This window comes from Homo sapiens, chromosome 9, assembly GCF_000001405.40.
Source record: "Homo sapiens chromosome 9, GRCh38.p14 Primary Assembly".
NCBI classification, from domain to species: Eukaryota; Metazoa; Chordata; class Mammalia; order Primates; family Hominidae; genus Homo; species Homo sapiens.
This window is the reverse complement of record NC_000009.12, coordinates 126,414,966-126,434,553: the sequence shown is the minus strand read 5'-3', so window position 1 is coordinate 126,434,553 and position 19,588 is coordinate 126,414,966. Positions and strand designations below refer to the sequence as shown.

At 47.6% G+C, this 19,588-nt stretch overlaps 1 protein-coding gene and 1 pseudogene across 7 annotated transcripts in view, besides 4 other annotated features; both read right to left on the bottom strand.

Annotated features, from left to right (window-relative positions):
* MVB12B (multivesicular body subunit 12B) overlaps positions 1-19,588 on the bottom strand; it is a 180,212-nt gene that overhangs the window by 72,487 nt on the left and 88,137 nt on the right. For 6 of the 7 annotated variants that reach the window (NM_033446.3, XM_017015275.3, XM_017015277.3 and 3 more), the window contains one exon: positions 12,606-12,700. In NM_033446.3, coding sequence (NP_258257.1) covers positions 12,606-12,700 — 95 coding nt within the window. Of the gene's footprint in view, positions 1-12,605; positions 12,701-17,570; positions 17,638-19,588 lie in introns of those variants that run through there. The other variant, XM_047424056.1, reaches the window with a different exon arrangement.
* On the bottom strand, positions 7,584-7,661 carry LOC124902337 (uncharacterized; annotated as a pseudogene).
* Positions 10,413-10,912: an enhancer, noted in NCBI's record as "H3K4me1 hESC enhancer chr9:129185921-129186420 (GRCh37/hg19 assembly coordinates)". NCBI's record gives its function as "activates a minimal SCP1, AML or CMV promoter by ChIP-STARR-seq in primed H9 embryonic stem cells {active_cell/tissue: H9 hESC(primed)}" and the evidence as "EXISTENCE:reporter gene assay evidence [ECO:0000049][PMID:30033119]".
* Positions 12,428-13,112: an enhancer, noted in NCBI's record as "NANOG-H3K27ac-H3K4me1 hESC enhancer chr9:129183721-129184405 (GRCh37/hg19 assembly coordinates)". NCBI's record gives its function as "activates a minimal SCP1, AML or CMV promoter by ChIP-STARR-seq in primed H9 embryonic stem cells {active_cell/tissue: H9 hESC(primed)}" and the evidence as "EXISTENCE:reporter gene assay evidence [ECO:0000049][PMID:30033119]".
* Positions 13,113-13,796: an enhancer, noted in NCBI's record as "NANOG-H3K27ac-H3K4me1 hESC enhancer chr9:129183037-129183720 (GRCh37/hg19 assembly coordinates)". NCBI's record gives its function as "activates a minimal SCP1, AML or CMV promoter by ChIP-STARR-seq in naive and primed H9 embryonic stem cells {active_cell/tissue: H9 hESC(naive and primed)}" and the evidence as "EXISTENCE:reporter gene assay evidence [ECO:0000049][PMID:30033119]".
* Positions 18,274-18,866: an enhancer, noted in NCBI's record as "H3K27ac-H3K4me1 hESC enhancer chr9:129177967-129178559 (GRCh37/hg19 assembly coordinates)". NCBI's record gives its function as "activates a minimal SCP1, AML or CMV promoter by ChIP-STARR-seq in primed H9 embryonic stem cells {active_cell/tissue: H9 hESC(primed)}" and the evidence as "EXISTENCE:reporter gene assay evidence [ECO:0000049][PMID:30033119]".

Sequence of the window (19,588 nt, the reverse complement as noted above, 5' to 3'; positions counted from 1 at the left end):
AAGGACTTCTAAGTGTGTCACCAGAAGCGATGCTTAGGGCCACCGAGGCAAGCTTTACTCCCTCATTCAAAATTATGGATGTTGCCTCGCCAGTGGATCATGCGATCGTTCATGCTATAAAACAAGTCAGGCGTAAGAAACTGCTCTCTAACAAAGGATCTCAACCTTGGAGGAGAGTTCTGTATCATTCATTGTCTTACAGACAATTGTAAGACAAATCTGGGGAATCAAGAACCTTATTCTCTGGGATAGGTGATAAATATATTCCATCCAAACTCCAGGCTGCAGGATTGAAGATTTTTTTTTTTAAACATAAATGCATTTAGGACTATCACTGGCCATTAATAAAAAGAGGGAAAAAGCCATTCAGTATTCAGGGCACAAACACCAACTGTGTGACAGTAGTTGGATTCAGGTACTCTGTCCAAACAAGACAGGTGGCTTCGTTGTTCTAAAAAAGATCGGAATTTCTTTTGTCCTAATGTCAGCAGTTAAATGCATTCATTCTGACAAAAAAGGGGGACCCTCATACTGTGTAAGAGCTGAAAGATAAATCTCATCACCAAAGCTTGTGCGACTGTTCAACTTCTCCCCAAGTTCTGGCACCGCATGTATCCATCCTTAGCAGGCCATCGAGAGTTTACCCCAACTCGGAATCCAATGCCCTGCCACTACTGTCTTAACTCAGAGATGCTTGAGCTCGGCAATGCTGGCAGCTGGAGGACTCAGGGGGCTGGAAGCAGGCAGGAGTGGAAGCTGGGACTGGGAATGACTGGGTCACAGGTGAGGGTTATTCTGGAGCACTCACAGGGAATACTCACAAGGAATGCTCACGGGCTGCAATGGCTCAGTAATCTTGGGCTTGGGTTTAGGAGAAGTTGGCTCTTAGGAGGCCCAATCTAGAGAATGAAGCTTCCAAGCAGGAAAGGCAGGGCAGCACACAGGTGACTATCAGTTCAAACTAGAGCCCTGCCCATGGGCAGGGTACAGGGACTCACGGAACAGGAGAGCTAGAGTAGGGGAGAAGAACACTTGGGGGTCAGACCCAATAAGTGAAACGATGGGCTTGGGCTGCCCACCATCACTATAGGCTAAGAGAAGGCCACCACGAAGAGACATCCCAGTGCCAAGGGCTCCCCCAGACACAGGTTTATAGCAGCAAGGCTAGTGCAGCCCCCACTATGAAGGCAGAGGTTCTTTGATACCTGGTGTATCAAAGGGGATACCTGGTGTATCAGAGGGGATACCTGGTGTATCCCCTTTCCTGGCTGGGAAAGGATCTGAGAAGGGGCTGGGAGGGCAGGGCTGTGGATACCAACAATCACAGCAATACATCAATAGCACTTTCTGTGTCCCAGGCATGGTTCTAAGCTTCACCATAAGTCACCGTCACCCCCATTTTACAGGTAAGGAGACAAAGGCACAGAAGGGTTCAGTTCCTTGCCCAAGGTCATTTAACTTTAAGTAAGGAGGCCTTGGGCTCCCCACCTTCACTGTTTTGCCCAGCAAGAGTGATGGGAGCCACACCCCCTATTCCTTTTTTCCTTTGGATCCAGCATTGCCATCAGCCAAGTGTCAAAGGCCTCACTCTGATGAGGTCCCAGAGATGATCATCCAGGGGCCCACGTGAGAGTTTAAACAGTGCTGAGGCCCAGTACACCAAGTTAGTCCTAGCACGATTCACTCCAGGTCTGTGTGCCATTTCCAACCTTCAAGTTGATGAGGGGAGGGAAACGGTCACACGCAACCTGTGCTAAAGAAGCATCCTCAGTACCGTGGTTTCGAGCTCAATGTCTGCAGTCAAAGAGACCTGGGTCTGAATCTCAGCCCTGCCACGTACCACAGGTGTAACTGTGAGCTGATCACAAGCTCTCAAGACCTCAGTTTCCCCATCTGTAAAAGATTTTCTTGGTTAAGGATTTGTTGGGATTAAATAACATAATGCATGGCAAGTGCATATGCCATACCTTACACAGGGTAAGTAAGAGGAAGGCTGGGTATTATTCAGTAAATTCATTTAATTAATTTAATCCATTTTAATAATGCAAAAACAACTAAATGTGTTTCAATGAAAGAAGTTGCCTTCATCATTTTCCCCTCTCAGCTGAGAGTTTATTATTTTGAGAGAGACAGAGGTAGAGAAAGAAACAAAAGGCTAATTTGGTATAAGCTGCCTCTAGGCAGGAGTGTCTGGTCACACTACTTCATTCACTCCAGAGTAAACCTCTGAAGAAGTGCTAAGAGCAGGTGAAGGGCTGGGCTCAAGGGGGTTCCCTTTGTTTTCAGCATTTCTCTGGCCAGGTCTACAATTATGCTGTCTCTAAGGAAGGGAATTATCAGGGGGAAATGGGCATATTTCTGCTGAAAAACTAGACAAAGAAGATAAACATACAGGGAGAAAGGTATCAGAAAGTTGGTTTTTCTGTGTTCATGTGTTTAGGAACGTTACAGTCAAGGCAGTGTTTGGACAGAATGTCTGTGAAGTCCAGGGGCAGTAAATGCACATTTGCTGGCCACTGCGAGGCCTGGGGCATCTCAAGCTGCAGAATATACAAGCCTCCTTCCCACATAGCTTTAAGTCCTGGGAGGTGGGCATTACCACCTCCACCTTAAACACCAGACAATGCCTGGTGCACAGGAAGCGTCCCATAAGAATGAGCCGACCTATTGCTATGTTCAAATGATCGATATTGTTACTGCAATTGCTGATATGGAGAGATGTGGAATTTAGATCCAGAAAGGCTAGGATCTCTGCTGGCCTCACTCGGCTAGTCGGTGGGAGAGACAGGGCCTGCACCCAGCTGTTTGGGCTCCCACCCTGCTTCATCCAGCTGCCCTCGGCTGCCTGGACCACAGATTTAACCCTTTTCCAAGTTAAGAAGGGGATGTGGCCCATTAAACCAGTGCCGCCTAAGCTCTGCCATGCTTAAAAACCAAAAAGAGAAGGAAAGCACAGTGGGAAGGTGGCCGCCTGTTTAAGAGCACTGAGGTATCTGTCACCTAGTAATATTTTTATTTTTCATGATGACTTAACTGGAAAAAGTCTTAACTTCTTCCTACCCATGGGGCACAGGAAAAGCAGAAATGAAAGCCTAGAGCAGAAATCAGCCCCCCAGGCACTTTTCCTCCAAAAAACCAAAGGTACATTGAAAGATTTTATAGAAGTTGCAGCCTCACGCTGCCAAGCACTTCTCTCCTTCCTGCCCCCAAGCCATCATTCTGTCACCTTCTTGAGAAAGGGATCGTGGGCTGCTTGCCACGGAAAATAGCCCACTTCTAAGTGGTGATGCGTGACAGAATGTCTCGGCTTCCAGGGGGTACTGAGCTGAGCCATGCCAGAGAGCCTTTTATTGCAAGTTTCTCTGGACTGAGGAAGAAATTTCCTCTGAGCACTCTGAGAAGTAATCTTATATATCAAAATTATATAAGGAAGCACACGGCTAAGAAGATGAAGACCGTGCTGGGCCCAAGCCAGCGTGTCCCATGTGATAATTCTCAACAAGTCTTTGGGCTCTTTCTTGGATCACATCCCTGTAGGGGAGCTGAATAAGGAGAGAAGTGACATTCCTACACTGCTTCCTGGTTTATGAAATGTTCTTACCTACCCTAGATCTTCACAACAATCCAGGAAGGAAACGGGCATTACTGCATTGTTTTAAAGGTATGGATACTAGCATTGCCCAAAGTAGCATTGTGCAGGGTCCTTGTACAGTTCTAGAGGATGCTAGTCACATATTTTGTGCAGTGCACAACCTTGGCAACTGCTCACAGCAGCACTGTATGATGGCCAGTATGTGTCAGAGCCAAGATTCTGACCCTATGCTTCCAACCCCAAATGCCCTATCAGGGCAGCAGGCTTGCCCTCAGGAGCACAGGACAGGGCAGCTCTCGGTGACTGTTGAGTGAATGGAGTGAACAATCTTGCTCTTGTCTTTGCCTTTGTTTACCTACATCCTCCTCAATTAAAAAAAAAAAAAGAGGGGAGCCTCCATTCTCTCTAAATATGGTCTCTGCCCTCTCACTCAAGGTGCTCACAGGTGAAAACTCTCCAACAGAGTAGTGTGGGGTAAACCAGGAGAGAGCATCAGCAGCGGGAGAGGAATCAGAAAAGCCTGATGGAGAGGCAGCTTGGGAGTGGCCTTCAGAGCCACAGCCAGGGACAGAGAGAAGAGAAGGTGGTGAAATCTGAGCTGCTGGAGTGGCGGGGCAAGCATAGCGCAAGACAAAGGCAAGGAGGACGCAGGGAGCGACCCAGGCTGGTGGGACACGGGTGGGGCTGGTTGTTGACAGCCCCAACACCAGGCAGGTGAGGTCTGAGGTCTGAATGAATGCAGTCAGGCTGTGGAGGGGCACAAAGGTGTGATCTGAGGAGCAAGGGGACCAAGGAGGTCTTTGGAGAGATGAGTCAGCTACCTGGGCAACTGGGCTGAGGCTAGAAAAGCCTGGTCAAGGAAGAGAGTCAAGTAAGGGCTGGGCACCAAAGCCTGATACCTGCCAGACTGCAGCCCAGAAGGCCCGGGCCCACGGCCTTCTGTGGGCCCTGCATTCTAAGTGAGAATGCAGGTGTGCGAAGAGAGGTCCCACGCTTAACACTCAGCTGCAGAGGACCTGCTGGGGAACTGATCCTGACCATGGACTTCATCTGGAGTAAGATGACCCAGAGCCCAGCTCAGGGTTCTCAGGGTCTATCTCTCTGTGAAGTCCAGGAGGAGGCACTCGCACTGCAGAAAACCTCCAGGAGGCAGGAGTTCCCCAAGTGCCCTGTGTGTCTGCCTGCACACGCTGTTCATTAACTTCAGTGACACAGCCACCGTGGTGGATGTAGAAAAGCACATCCAATTAGCCAGGCCTACATGAATATTTGCACTCTTAAATCTTTTGCATTTCGAAAGGGTTAAAGCTTATTATTAGCATATAATTTACAGTCCTTTCTCCCAGGAAAGGAATAATGCACAGTAAATGCCACATTCATTTTAATAATACATGTTACAGTCTGTGCCCAACATCTGCACAAAGGTAAAGGAGACAGATTTTTTTGACATGTCCCACTCTGCCATCTAAACACAGGCTTTTTGTTTCTTAAGTGACGGAAGGTTTAATCAAGAAAGCAGGCAATTCATCAATCGAAACAAGGCAGTGTGCGTGCGCCTGACAGCACACACATGGTTGTGTACGGAGCAAACCTGGCCACCTGTCAGCCGCACCTTTTACATCAGGATATACAAATACACCATGCGATCAATTCCCCATCCGCTCCCATTCATTTCTTCTTTTTCTTATTCTATTTTTCTTTATACTTGATTTTGTTGTCAGTCAGGGCAAGAGGAGATGGATAGACAAGGGTTCTTATAGGGGATGATAAAAATGGTTCTTATAGGTGATGATAAAAATGTATCTGTCTTTAAAATGACTTCTTTCCTCCTTGGTTCAAGCACAATTATTATACATATCTTTTCACTTCATTCAGGAATTTTCCCATATGCTATTATCAGTGGCTGTGCCAAATTGATGTTCCTGTCTCAGATCTGGGGCAACCCTCCCATACGCTCACCCACCACCGCTTGAGCCAGTTGTCGGTGATTACGAAAATCCTCTGTGGAGCGAAGAACCTCAGGGAAGCCAGGGTCAGAAATGCAATGCCACCCCGAGCCACGAGAACATATCCACTGAAGACAAGGGCCACAGGGACCCCTGTGAAAGCAGAGGCTAACACTACTCAGGGGCTTGCACCAGAAGACAGTGGCTCTTTCCCTCCTTGGTGGTTATCAGGAACACACTCACTCAGCCCACACACTCACCCGAGCACAGGGAAAAGGAGAACCACAGGCACATGGCACACCCAGAATGTGGATGCAAATTCTGTGGCATCAAACCATGAACATTACAACATGCCAAGCAGTTGTGTTAGCACACCTGACACAGGAGAGAACAGCGCTTCTCAAGCACCCCATTGTTTGAGTCTTTTACCCTTCATTTTCCCAACCCTGCAGTGCTTCCTGATCATTAAAGTATTAAGTTTATTTTCAATTTCCCGGGTGAGTTTTTTTTTTCCTAATTAAGAGACAGAAATCATGTAATCACTGCAAATGAAAGGAAAATATGTTTGGAATTGTTTGGTATGCTGTAGATGAGTTTTTAAATGATCACATTGTAAGATACACATTTTTTTCATCATAAGATGAAAAGCTGGTGGCAGAAATTTTATCCAATTGGATGAAATATATAAATCATGAATTTCATAATACTGATAATTAAATGTCCATCTTCCAATTTAAATGAGGACTAGATTAAAACTGCATGGAGAAGGCTGATATTCAGAAATCATTAATTATTTTTAATTGCTTTGTGCTTTCCTACTCCAATGTCAGAGCTACATGGCTCACCCACGGTTCTGAGTTACAGATAAAATCCTCCTTCTCTCTGTACAAGGGGCCATGATCCAAACTGATGAGATGATGGACACTGACTTGACCACACCGACATCTTTCCTGGTGTCAAACATCCTGAAAGGGGGGCTGGTTTTTAAAAAGCAAACAGCTGTGGAGGGCAATAAGCTGGCTTTTCCAGCAATCAAAAAGAAAAGCAAAAAAAAAAAAAGAAAAAAAGCTGAAGGCAGAGGAGTGGCCAATACACCCCAGTCTGCCAGGATAGATTCAGGTTACAGCTTCTGTCCTGGGACAATTGTGTGCCCCCTTCACTTTAATAGTCAGCCTAATGCTGATGGATAAATGAAGATGTCAGTGAGCCAACCTGTCTAGGTCCTAAAGAGGAAAGCAGTCCTAGCCCCGCAGCTCACTGCACTGTGTGGCTTTGCAGAGTTTCTGCACTGTGGCTCACCCTGCATTCATAGGGTGTTCGAGATTTTTTGGTCTTATTATATGCCAGTTTTAATAGGTATTTGCTTAATTTTACTATGTCAATTTTTTTTCAAAAGAGATAAATAAGCTTTCTATGGTTAAAAACTGTGCACTTGGAGATAGAAATCAGATTACAACAACAAACACAACAAAAGAATAGGATGGTATCATTTCCCATCCCACAGTCCCGTTTGTTAAGCAAAACCTGCCGTAAGACAAAAAACCCTCCTAGGTTAGAAAAGCCGCACTGTGCTCTCCTTGGTGGCCCCTCTCCTTATAGGAAGCCTCTGGGGCAGCTGTGAGCAGCAGGTTTGGGCAGGGGGTCAGGGAAGATCTGTCTTTCCTGACATTCCCCGAGGTCTCCAGTCCCATAAGGTGCCTGACACCCACCACAAGAACATTTCTTAAGAAACATCTCACTCAACTTTCAGACATTTTAGATTCATTTCAAACAAGTAGGTGTCCCCCCAATACATGGATATATATATATGTATAAGCTGTTCTTATCAAACTTAGAGTTATAATCATTGAAAAGCAATTGTTACATTGTTTACAGCATTTTATGGAGCCCTCCTCCCCCCCGCAAGGTGGTAAATATTTATATTTCTCTCATTCATGTCCAGTGTTGTCTGAGACGTCTACTAGCTTTAATATGTATCCATAGGACTAACACTCATGTGGCAATAATGTGGGAAAGTGCAGAACTAAAGAAATAAAGAAAACAAGAGCACTCATTTTGGCGGTAGAGGTTTTTTGCTCATTTTGTTCAGCTTTCTAAGGAATGCATATGTGGGAGTCAGCGCTGACCCACGGGACCCTGTTTATGAGGAAGGACAGCTCTTCGGGCTTAAGAGAATAGTTCAGTTCTTCCCAAGCAACTAGCTTGTTTCTCTCTTACCCCTAAAGGACAGCCCTCTGCCTCAGAACCTAATCTAGATATCCCCTGCACATAGCCGCACCTACTTTCTATCCTATTTCCATTCACTTGTGTTTCCTCACTTCCATTTTCATTTGGCCGTATGTATTTTTGGAGCTACCTTAAATCCTTCTGGAATAGATGAAAGAGAAATGAGTGAATGGGCAGACATCTAAACATATTAAAAAATCCAAGAAAAAAAAAAGGTAGGGTGCCACCATTTGGGACTAAAATAGAAGACTTTTCAGGAAAGATAAGATGTTCTTAAGAAAAGTAACAGCCACTAAGAGTCCTGACCAGGAAACTCAGGAGTGGGGTTGGAGTAGAACCTAGAGAAATCAACATGACCCGGAAGAGGGCCCTCCAAAGAGGTAAGATCTTAAAGGCATGCTCGAAAAACCAAAGGCACAAAGCTACAGGGGTCACACCAGTAAGACCAGCACCAGGAAAGCTACAGTCAGCAAGGTAAGAACTATCAAAAAAGGTTGTTTTGAAATATTTTGTTTACAGCTAGAAAGAGTAAGGATGAATAGCACCCATGGCTTAGGAGTGATGACCCTAACCAGGGGTTGGCAAATGTTTTCTGTAAAAGGCCAGAGAGTAAATATTTAGGATTTCTTGGCCATCCGGCATTGCCTGCACACACCTAACTCTGCCATTGGAACGTGAAGCAGCTATGGACCATTTGTAAAGGACTGGGCATGGCTGTGTTGCAATAAAACTTTATTTACAAACACTAAAGATTTTCATATAATTTTCACATGTCCCTAAATATTACTCTTTTTATTTTTGTCCAACTATTTAAAAATATTAAAACCATCCTTGGCTTGCATGTCACACAAAACAGGCCCTGGATGGGATTGGGCCATGGGCTTTAGTTTGCTGACCCTAACCCAGATGGGTAACAGAGTGAGCCAAGCCAAGCGACCATCATTTTATCCTTTTAGGGAAAACCATCTTCAAAACCCTACAGAGTGACACACTGATGGGGGACATGAAGAGCAAGGAAGGCAGGGAGGTGGCTGGAGCAGCCGGCTGCTTGCCTGCCCAGTCCACATCCAGAGGGCCAGCAGGACATAAAGGATGGTGCTGGAATTACAGACAGTGATCTCTGAGGAACTCGAATGAACAGGTGATTTCAGGGGACTGCATAACAGGGAAAAAAAATCATATTTTCTAAAAGGGACAATAAGAAAATTATTGATCTGTGGTCTGGAAGTGCTCTGCAGTAAACTTCGAAAGCATAGACTCATGAGTGCTCAGGAGAAAATGGTGATCCTGCAGGCCGGCAGGGTTTACCAAGGACATGCCACACTCACATCAGGTGTGTATTTTTTCTTACTACAAAAGCAACACGTGCTATTATGGAAAATGAGTAACTGCAAAGAGGCCAAAAAAAGATGAAAGTCCCAAGAAAACCACCATAAACACTTAGGTGTGGACCTTTCCAGACCTTTAGATGTATTTTTTGTTAATTTTAAAAAATTAATTTTTTTAAAGAGACAAGATCCATGTTCCCCAGGCAGGAGTGCACGGCTATTTCCAAAGGCCATCATAATAGCACATTATAGCCTCAAACTCCTGGCCTCAAGGGATCTTCCCTCCTCAGTCTCCCGAGCAGTTGGGACTACAGGCATGCACCACCACTCCCAGCTTAGAATGTAATTGTTAAAATGAGATCACTGCATATTCTGACTTGTTACCTGTTTTTCTTTCCACTTAACAATATTCACATACATCTTTTAATCTAAGTCATCACTTCTAGATGGCTGAAAAGTTAAGGCTACTGTATGGATGTTTTGTAATTTAAGCATTCGTCTTTGTTTGGGGCATTTAAGATCTATCCACCTCCCACCCCTGACTTGAAGTATTATTTTTGAGAAGTGGCGGTGCTTATCCTTGTGGATAAATCTTTTTGCACATCTGTATTTTCTAGGAGATACTGCTAGGACAAGTGTGAGGATGGATGCTGGCTTTGTGGCCGTGGCCGTTTGGATTAGGGTACAAGAGAGCAGAGCGCAGGCCACAGGCATCTCAGGATTTCAGCACTGAGTTAGAGCTCCTCACCCCACTTCCGTGGGCAAGAGAGAGATACGACTGGACTGTGTAGAACAGCTGGCAAATTTTGGTCGGCAGAATGCACAGTGTCTCAAATTGCTGAGTGGATGTGAAAGAACAGGAAGATAGAGCCCTGCTTAACGAGGAAGGATCTCACAGGGATGGGTGGGCTGGTAGGAGGTGGTGGTCCCAGACACCACAGGCATTCAAGCAGCAAAATCAGGATGACTACCTGGCCCAGGGTTTTGGGAGGGTACTCCTGTGCAAGGCAGACAGGAGGCTAAATGATTCCCTTCGTCTCTTCCTTCCTTCCATGACCACATCATGAGCACTGCTTTGTGCCAGGGATGGGACTACATATCGTCTCCACTGGTGTCTCTTGCAACTCTGTGCCACGTCTCACCCTTAGCAGGCATGATGGGAGCCAACTGTCTTAGTGAAAGATACAGGAAAAGGAATCTACTAGCAGGTATGCCACTGAGAAAACATTTAAAAGTTAATATACTTTAACAACCATACATACACATTAAGTGTGGGCTGTTTTTCAAATTTCTAATTACACTGTTTTGAAACCTACTTATCTTAGGAAGGGATGGAACACTAAGGGAGCAGTAATCGAATGTCTTCAGGAGGGACACAGAGCCCGCCAGGAGTCTGCACCAAAGGCTCAGCTCCTGAAGTCTGCAGTGAACCTGTGCCAGGGCCAGTTCAGAGGCAGAACGGTTTGATGATTCATTTCATTATCAGCAGAACTCCAGCTATCAAGGCATGGGTACTGGGCAAGGGCTAGGGCCTGGGGCACACTTTGCCTTAACTGTTTTTGGAAGAAACCATTGGAAACCCTAACTTCACAATACCAAACTGAGATAGGCCACTCAGTGCCAAATACTGTTCATATGGGGGTAAGGGAGGTGGTCTCTGCTCCCTTCTAGCCAGAATGACTCGCAGGCAGGCTGCCAGTGGGTGGGCGGGCAGCCTTCCCAGTTGTACCATAGTTGCCCAGTGCTGAGCTTGCAGGCCTTATGGAGCCAGCAGGTCCTGCAGGGTATTTCTGGCAGCAACACAACAAAGCAGTCCTGGACCCTGGCAGAGCAATTTGGTGCTTGCAGCCACTGAGGAGGCCTGAAATTGCCTGCTGCCGTGGGCTGTAGCCTCAACTACCTCTGTTTGGAAGATAAAATCCAATTGACTGCCACTTACATAAATGTAACAGGAAGTTTCTGAATGGCTTCCCCTGTGTCTTGAGGCTGTTACCTTGGTATTGCTAAACTAACAGCTGAAATGAACCCAGACAACACCTCATCAAAGCTGCGGGGCGAGGAAGCAGCGGTCCAGAGGCAGACAGCAGTGTTCCTGCCAAACCATAGGAGATTTCACTCTGTGGCTCTTTCCTGCAGAAACGCCAACAGCTGGGAAAGCCATCAGAGAACACAGGTAAAGTGGGTGTAGCCAAACGCTGTGGCTGGAAAAAGATTTGTGAGCTGCAGAAAAAAAGTCATCCGTTTTGATGAAGCTTCCCTTGTGTGCATTCTGAATGGGGGCGCCCTGCTGGATTCCACAGGCCTGTTCTGCACCTCTATGCCACTAAGCATCTGGGGAAATATTCAGCTTTTCTACAAAATAGGTCATCTTTCCACACTTGTTATGCTCCTTGTCGACTCTGCTGAAATAGCCACAGCACAAAAGAAATTCTCCCTGGAGATGCTGTTCTTAGACAAACACGTTCCCTCTCCCCTTGGAGAGCCTGGCTCCTGCAGTGGAGCCAGGGATGGGGGCTTAAGAACATCCCTGTTCCTCCCCTTCTCAGCAGGAATGTCACCCAGAAATGGAACAACTGGCTTTTGCTTATACTTCCAAACCTATTAGGGAGTGATCATAACGAGAAAAACTAATACTGACAAGAATTATGCCATTGTTCTATTTCATCTATTTAGTAACCTGTAGTTGCAATTTTTAGAAAAAAGATTACCTTTTAAATAACCGATTCATTATGGAACATGAATGAATGCCATGTTCCTGTGTTCAAAATGTCACTCACCATTAAGGGTGTGTGCTGGTAAGTGGCACTGATTTGCCACTTTCCCCTTATACACAAACACCCCTCACTGGCGGCCCAGGATAATCGGAGGCGAGTTTGTGGGTTTCCTCGGCTCTTAGCAAGTCACCTGTGCTGCCAAGCACCTAATGAATCTCAATTCTGTAATAAGGCTTGTAAGTTTTCCCCTCCCTGGGTGAAGGTGAAAAGGAAAACTAGGACTGATGAAGTTCCTGCCAAGGTAACACTATCAATTTCAAGGCCGAGTTCAGAAACCACAGACTCATGCTCCAGGGGTGTGAGGGGAGACCGCCAGTGTACCCGCTGGCCACAAACCTGGCTGTGAGAAATGAGAGGTGAGGACAGACTTGGATATGGGAGGGTGAGCCGACCAGGGCTCAGCTCGGCGCTGCTCCCGAGGCCCCGTGGGAAGCCTGCCCGGGTCTGGCAGGTGAACAATGTGGCGAGTATTCTCTGGAAACCTCCCTTCAACCCTGTGAAATCCACACATTGTTTTTCATCATTAGTTTCAAAACATGCTGAGTATTTGGCCCTTCTCTAAGTGCTGTGGCGACACAAAGGAAAGGGAAGGCCTGGTCCCTGCAGGGAACAGGTCCCCTGCAGGGAAGAAAAGAGAGGTAAGGCAGACAGATCCCACGAGAAGACAGAGAACGTGTGGAAGGAGGTGGCGCCCGGGACACAGACTCTGTAGCTGGCCTGCAGCGGTGGCTCCACATACCTGATATGGCATACAAATTGGAGTGCTGGTACTCGTAGTCCGTCCGGGTGCTGTTCCTGCCTCGGAAGGTGGCAGGAAGTGTTAGGGAGATGTGCCTGAGGAAGAGAAGGACGAGAGAAAGGAGATTACAAGGAGCATTCCCCAAGACTCAGGAAGCACTGACGCCATCAACAGCTGAAATGCAGCACAGATCAGCGGGCAGAGCAGGTGCTTCTGGCCAGCGCCTCCTTCTCAATCAAGCATAACTCCTCCACTGGGCTCAAGTCCTCTCAAGGAATTTGGAAGTTTCTAGACATCAGCAGCCACATTTTTTTTCCATACTAGAAAGGACATCCAAGAGGAAGAAAGTGTGTCCCAAGCCTTACAGCGGGCCCAAGGGACTCTACGGGGTGGCAGTTTGATCCAGATCTCTGCCCACTGGGCAAAATGCACCAGCAAGACCGTAACAACCCAGGCGCTGAACACCAGCCTTGGTTTATTCCAGGAGCCATGCAAATGCTTCCATTCCTACACCGCAGGGCTGCTGAGGATCACTGCACATGAAGCGCTCTGTAAACAAAGGTGTTGGGAATTATTATTGCCATATGAGTTCAGGAGACTAATGACCTCTGAAAATCAGGATGGCACATCGCTCTCAACTGCTATGTCTGTGTGTTCCCCCTCAGGCAGCGCACACAGTAGGTGCTCAGGAAAGCACCTTCCAGACAGATACAGCACAGTCTTTGATGGCTCAGGTGTGAGTCATTAAAGCTCACAAAGAACACTCAGCCTAAGTGAGCATTTAGTCAAAAGTAAACAATCCATTTGGCATGGTCACCAGCTGCCTGTAGTGAATGCTGAAAAGAAAAATTAAGCGAATAGGAAAATATTTAAAACCCAACAGGACTGGGGGAAAAAAACAACAAAACCTCTTGGTGGGACAACTGGGGGCTGTGTTGCAATAGCTCAGGAGCCTAACCTGTGGCCACACCCGGACATTTCCGAAAAGGAAGAGACTGCTGGAGGGAACACTTATCACATAAAGTAAGTGGTCAATTACTAGGTGCCTTTTTCACACAGCACATGTGTGACCTAGAATGACTGCTGTGCATAAACACTCCTGGGAGGGCCGGGCGCGGTGGCTCACGCTTATAATCCCAGCACTCTGGGAGGCCGAGGTGGGTAGATCACCTGAGGTTGGGGGTTTGACACCAGTCTGGCCAACATGGTGAAACCCTGTCTCTACTAATCCCAGCTACTTGGGAAGCTGAGGCGGGAGAATTGCTTGAACCTGGGAGGCGGAGGTTGCAGTGAGCTGAGTTCATGCCATTGCACATTGCACTCTAGCATGGGCAACAGAGCAAAACTCTGCCTCAAAAAAAAAAAAAAAAAAAAAAAAAAAAAAAAAGACTCCTGGGAGGAAAGGCTCTCCAGGGAGGGGATGTTCCCACAGGTCCAGGATTGAGCTGGAACCGGAAGGAGCCTTCCAGGGGCAAGATGAGCACCAAGGGCTGTGAAGGTATTGGGTCTGCTAGCCACAGAGTGATAGCTCATGGCGGACACTCAGCCACAGCCCAGCCAGGCTGAATCAAGCACCAACTGTACGCTCAGGGCTTTGGGGAACCAGCAGACACATGCACTGTAAGTGTGTCCACCGGGTGCACTGGCGTGCATGGAGGGAACCTGAATATTCTTTGTTACTGCTGCTAACTAAGGGTACAGAGGTGAGCTCCCTCAGCTCAGGCTGCAGGGAATAAAGCAGAAACAAATCACAGTGCAACGTGACATGTGCTCGGAGAACAAGAAAAACTGAGTGCTGGTAAGCATGAAAAGAAGGAACAATATATTCTGTTAAAGGGAACGGGGCTTCAGGACCCCTCAAGGTGTTATGGCAGTGAAAGGCACCCACCAGGGAGTCAGAGAGAGCCAGCACTTCCCCATAGGGTTAGGGCACACGTCGGAAGCAGAGCTAGAAATGCAGGCAGGGCCAGATGGAAAGGGCGCCAAACACCATTACAAGAGGCTTGGGTTCAAACTCCTAGGATGGAGGTTCCTAAACCCCCATCATGGCATTAATGAAGGCGTCAGTCACCTGGGAACTTGCTACAACACAGATTCACAGGCCCTGACCTTGGGGAGTCTGATTCAGTGGGCCTGGCCGGGTGCAGCCCAGAAATCTATTTTTAACAAGCTCCAGCGGTGAATCTGAAGACTGGCCAGGTCTGGGAAGACTGGCCAGGTCTGGGAACCCTGCGAGGGTGAGGAGCAGCTGCAGAAGGGTTTTCAGCAGTTGATCAATGTCTCTGACCACAGCACTTAGTCAATGAAGCTGAGCAAACAGAAGAGTGAATTATCGACTGTGGTTGTGGTTGAGCAGAACTAAAATGATGACAGGTGACCCTGCTGAGAGTGTCACCAGGTGCCAGCCCTGGGAATGCAGGTGTCACACATCCTCCTATGGCTCCTCACAACGCCCCTCGAGGCAGGTATGGGAGCAGCTACACAATATGCGCGGCCCAGTGCGTGTTGAAAACATGGGGTCCTTATTCAAATGCTATCAAGAATTTCAAGATGGCAACAGCAGAGCATTAAACCCATGGTGGGGCCCTTCTGAGCACAGGGCTTTGTGTGTGTGACTAAAAGGATCCAGGGTAGGTGCTATAACTGCACTCACTATACCAATGAGGGAATTTCCAGGAGCCAGGGAAGTATTTTGCTTCATGGCTGCCAGACTAAGATTTCTAAGCCTCCAAAGCCCTAAAAAGGTGCACGCAACCTAACTAAGGATGCAGAGCGATTTGTGCAGTGCGGTAAACACTCCAGGAGCTAGAAGCATTCAGGGAGGCTCACAGAGGAGGCAGGAGCATTAGCAGAACTTTGGGAGCCAGGTGGACATGGATGATGGCAAAGAGGCCAGCCAGGAGGCAGAGGAGAAAATGGGGCCAGCCGAGCTGTTGGGTGGTCAAATATGCATCAATACAGATCTGTGGGGGACTCAGTGGTGGCAGGACAGGCAGGGGGACACGAAAATATCCATAAAGTTACCTGAACACTTGCTTACAAGTGTGATCATTTCCTATGGAAGGCGGGAAGACTCAAGTGCTAGGAAGGGCAGGGTAGGAGAAGGCTCCCTGGAAGGCTTCCTGGAGGAAGGTACATTGAGGTGGGAACTGAAGATAGGCAGAAATCAGAGAGATGCAGCAGGGAGGAGGGGTGAGCACTCGAGGCTCCGTGGGGAGTCTGACCTCCTCCAGACTTAGGAGGAAGCCAGGGTGGCCATGCCTAGAAGGCCAGGAAGACGGTGGGGCCAGGCCACGTGGAGCCCAGCATGGGTTCTGCCTTTCTCTGGAATGATTTTTAAGCAGAAATGTGCCAACATCCAATTTACAATTTCAAAAGCTTGCCCGTCTGTGGGAGAGTGAGGAAATAAAACTAAGGCGCCAATGTGGATGGGAATGGTAGCAGGAAATGATCATGAGCCTACAATTATTCACTATCTACTTTGTGCAGAGACTTCATTCCTGTCGACATGACTTGCCACAGACCCTCTAAATGGATAGTTTTGGGGAAATTTAGGACTTAAAAGAAATATATGAGCAATAACAACCACAAAAAAGTATATGAACAACAGAGAAATCAAGGGGCCCAGCTCTTCAGCTGCTCCATGCAATACTGATGTCCGGGACCAAACTTTCTTGTCCCTCGGGGCCTCAGATTTTGCCTGGCTTGCTCTGCAACTCAACCCCCGCCCCAGGTTCTCTTCCCTCGTTGGAGATGATTCTTTCTGCCCACCACCCCCCACCCCGCCAACTCCCACTTCGTCTCCAAACTTTGCAAGGTTGCTGTTTGCAAGGGTGCTGGCTTAGCTGTCTTCTCACTCTGTACACTTACACATCCCCGGCACACCAGCCCACCTTCCAGATTCTGCCTCTTGCCACTACTTACTTCCCCTCTCCTCCAGAAAGAGTGGAAGTCTTGTTAATCTCTGAACAGGCCTTGTTTTTCTCATGCCTAGGCCTGATTCTTTATCCATGCCACTCCCTCTTCCTAGGAATCTCCATTCTTCCTTACCGACTCTCCAAACTCCTATTCATACTTCAAGATCCCACCCAACCATGCCCTCTTTGGAAAAACCTTTCCTGGGCTTGCCCCAGACTGGATTGGATGCCTGAGTGTCTTCTCTCACCCCACTCCAGGTATCACAGTACACTTTGGTCATCTGATATAAACCTGTTCCCTAATGTGATTGTGACCTCCTCAAGAGCAGGGCCAAATATCATCAATTTTGTACTTCATTTTCTGGGACAATTTTTTGTCACAGGGTAGACAATTACTGACCATTTGTTGACCAAATCAAGTGTTGTAGTTGGCTCACTAAAACTCCTGGGTTTCTTTTTTGACATGAACTGCTGTTAGTCTCTATCATTTCATTTCTCCCTGTGTGTATTTTCCCAATTAATTAGGCTCCAGGGGTCTCTGTTTTATACCCTGAATCTCACCTCTCTCCATTATGGAGGAAACCAGGTATGGGTAAGAAGAAATCAGCAGCAGCAGCAACCAGGAATTTACAAGAAGGGAAAAAAAAGAAGGTTTCTGTTCATATATGATAGACAATGTGTGCCTGATGCAGCAAATGTGAAATTAAAAGAGGATTCAAGTCACAGGCTGACTGTATTTTCTGCAGAATAACTGCTCAGTAGGGATCTGCTGAATTGAAATCAGGTTACTGAATACTCCAGCTAAAGTAGCTGATGCAAGAGTGGGTAAGGGACAGCAGTCAGAGAGCAGCAGGTGAGAAGGCCCCCTGGGCAGAGAAAGCTTTAGGGAGAAGGGCTCCTCCCTACATGGCAAATAGCTTCCCCTGCATTTCTGCTTCCACTACTCCTGGACACAGGAAGCAGGGGACATGGGGACAGGACAGAAAGGCACATCAAGGCTTCCCATTAATGAGAATGAACAGTTTGGGCCCCAGGGACAGATTACCTGTGGTTAAACAGGACAAGTCACCTGCCGAAGGAGAAGTGGCCCAGGAGTGCTTTGGTGTCAGATTAGCCTGAAAGTGAGAGACAAGGATGAAGGCTCTGCCATCAGCTGGGTCTCTGGCGAGATGAGATTCCAGTTCCCCAGCGTGGGATGGAGCCCCACCTGCCAGGACCTGGGCTGGGGGTCCTCAATATATCACCCGGCCTCATCACCTCAACAACCTTTTTAGGTAGGAGTAATTATTCTCATTTAACAGAATAGGAAACTGAGGCTCTGAGAGGTAAAGCTGATGAAGGGAAAGCTAGGTATTAATGAAGAGGTCAGTCCATGTGTCCTCCGGAGGTGGTTATCGCTATGTTAGAGTTACCCCGATTCAGCTTCACTATCGGGTATATAAAATGAGACTACTCAATCAGGGCCACAGGGTCCCTCCTGAAGGCCCTTTTGAAATCAGTGATGCCAGGGACATGACATCTCTGCCGCTCACTAGCTCAGTGATCCCGACAGGTTACAGTGAACTATACAGAGCTGGATGACCAATGGCCCGATCGCACACCCAGGGAGGCAAACCAGTTGTAGTGGTTGAGGGCAGTGCCCCCGAGTCCGCTGGATGTGGGTCCAAATCCCAGCGCCAGCACCAGGGAGTCACATGGCCTTTGGCAGGGGTGTGTTGCCTCCCAGGGCACAGAGGGCCACCATGCAGGCAGGGTTGACAGCACGGAACCAGGCATGCGTGAGCACATGCAAGTACGCGAGCTTCAATCCTACTCCCACTCTCCCCATTCTTGCCACCCCGGCATTATTTTAGAGTCTGGCTCATGAGGGCCTCCATGCAGCACCACAGCAGAACCCACGGGGCCTTTCCTCTGCATCAGGATGAAATCCAAACCCGCCCACGGCTGAGAAGTGCTGCCAGCTCTGGCCCATCCCTCCTCTCTGACCACATCTTGTCCACCCTCCCTGCATTCACGTCTGCCAACCTCAGTAGCCGCTTTTGTTCCTCCAGCCTCTGCTCTTGTTCCTGCCTTAGGGCCTTTGCACTTGCCACTGTCCCCAGATCTCAGCGGCTGGCTTCCCTCCCCAGTCAGGCCACCCTTCTGAGGAGGCACCCCGCCACACTCTTATAACACCTGCCTCCTCCCTGTGGCGCCCTTCCCACTCTATCGGGCTGTCTGACTTGTTTTCATGTCACCAGAACATGATCTCCACCACACCTTTTCTTCCCACCACATCCCCAGGGGCGAGAACAATGCCCAGTACACAGTGAGCGCTTAACAAATATTAGGGAAAATCCTCTAAGATTACCTACTACTTGTTGATCTGATTCTGACTTATAATTAGGGATAGTTTCGGGAAACTTCCAGGAAGCCTTGTCTCTTCTCTCCTTCTCATCCCCACGACTGGGTTGGTTAATGGCTTGGAAAATGCAACTATTTCTGATTCACGATATTTTTACGTAAACAATAAATTCATCACGGCACTACTTATAAAGCCAAAAACTAGAATCAGATGAACAATCAAACAATGGAGGACTGGTTAAAAAATTGTGGTACCACTGTTTCATGAAATATTTGGCTGTCTTTTAAAATATTTTAGAAGACTCTTTATTGGTCAGTGCCTATGCCTATGACCACAGCATCCAGTGTCTATGGACTGGCATCCATAGACAGAAAGTCCTTATTTTCATGCTTGGAATCGTGGTCAGTTAACCCAATACTCTTTGGCTTCTTTCCCATACAAAGGCCTCTGGTTCATGAGAATAAACAGGTTGGATTGTCTAAGGAGAGACTGAAGGAAGGCCCCGATCACGACCCTGTACCTGGAGGAGGGAGGAAGCAAGAGATCAGGAGCTGCACTAGGCCACTGGCATTGGACACTCACCTCTTCTGCAGCTCCCAGCCAAGGGAGTTATAAGAATGAGTAGGTACTCGACAGCATCAAACAAAACCGAGAGGCCGGCTGGGAGTGGGGGCTCATGCCTATAATCCCAGGACTTTGGAAGGCCGAGGCGAGTGGGTCAC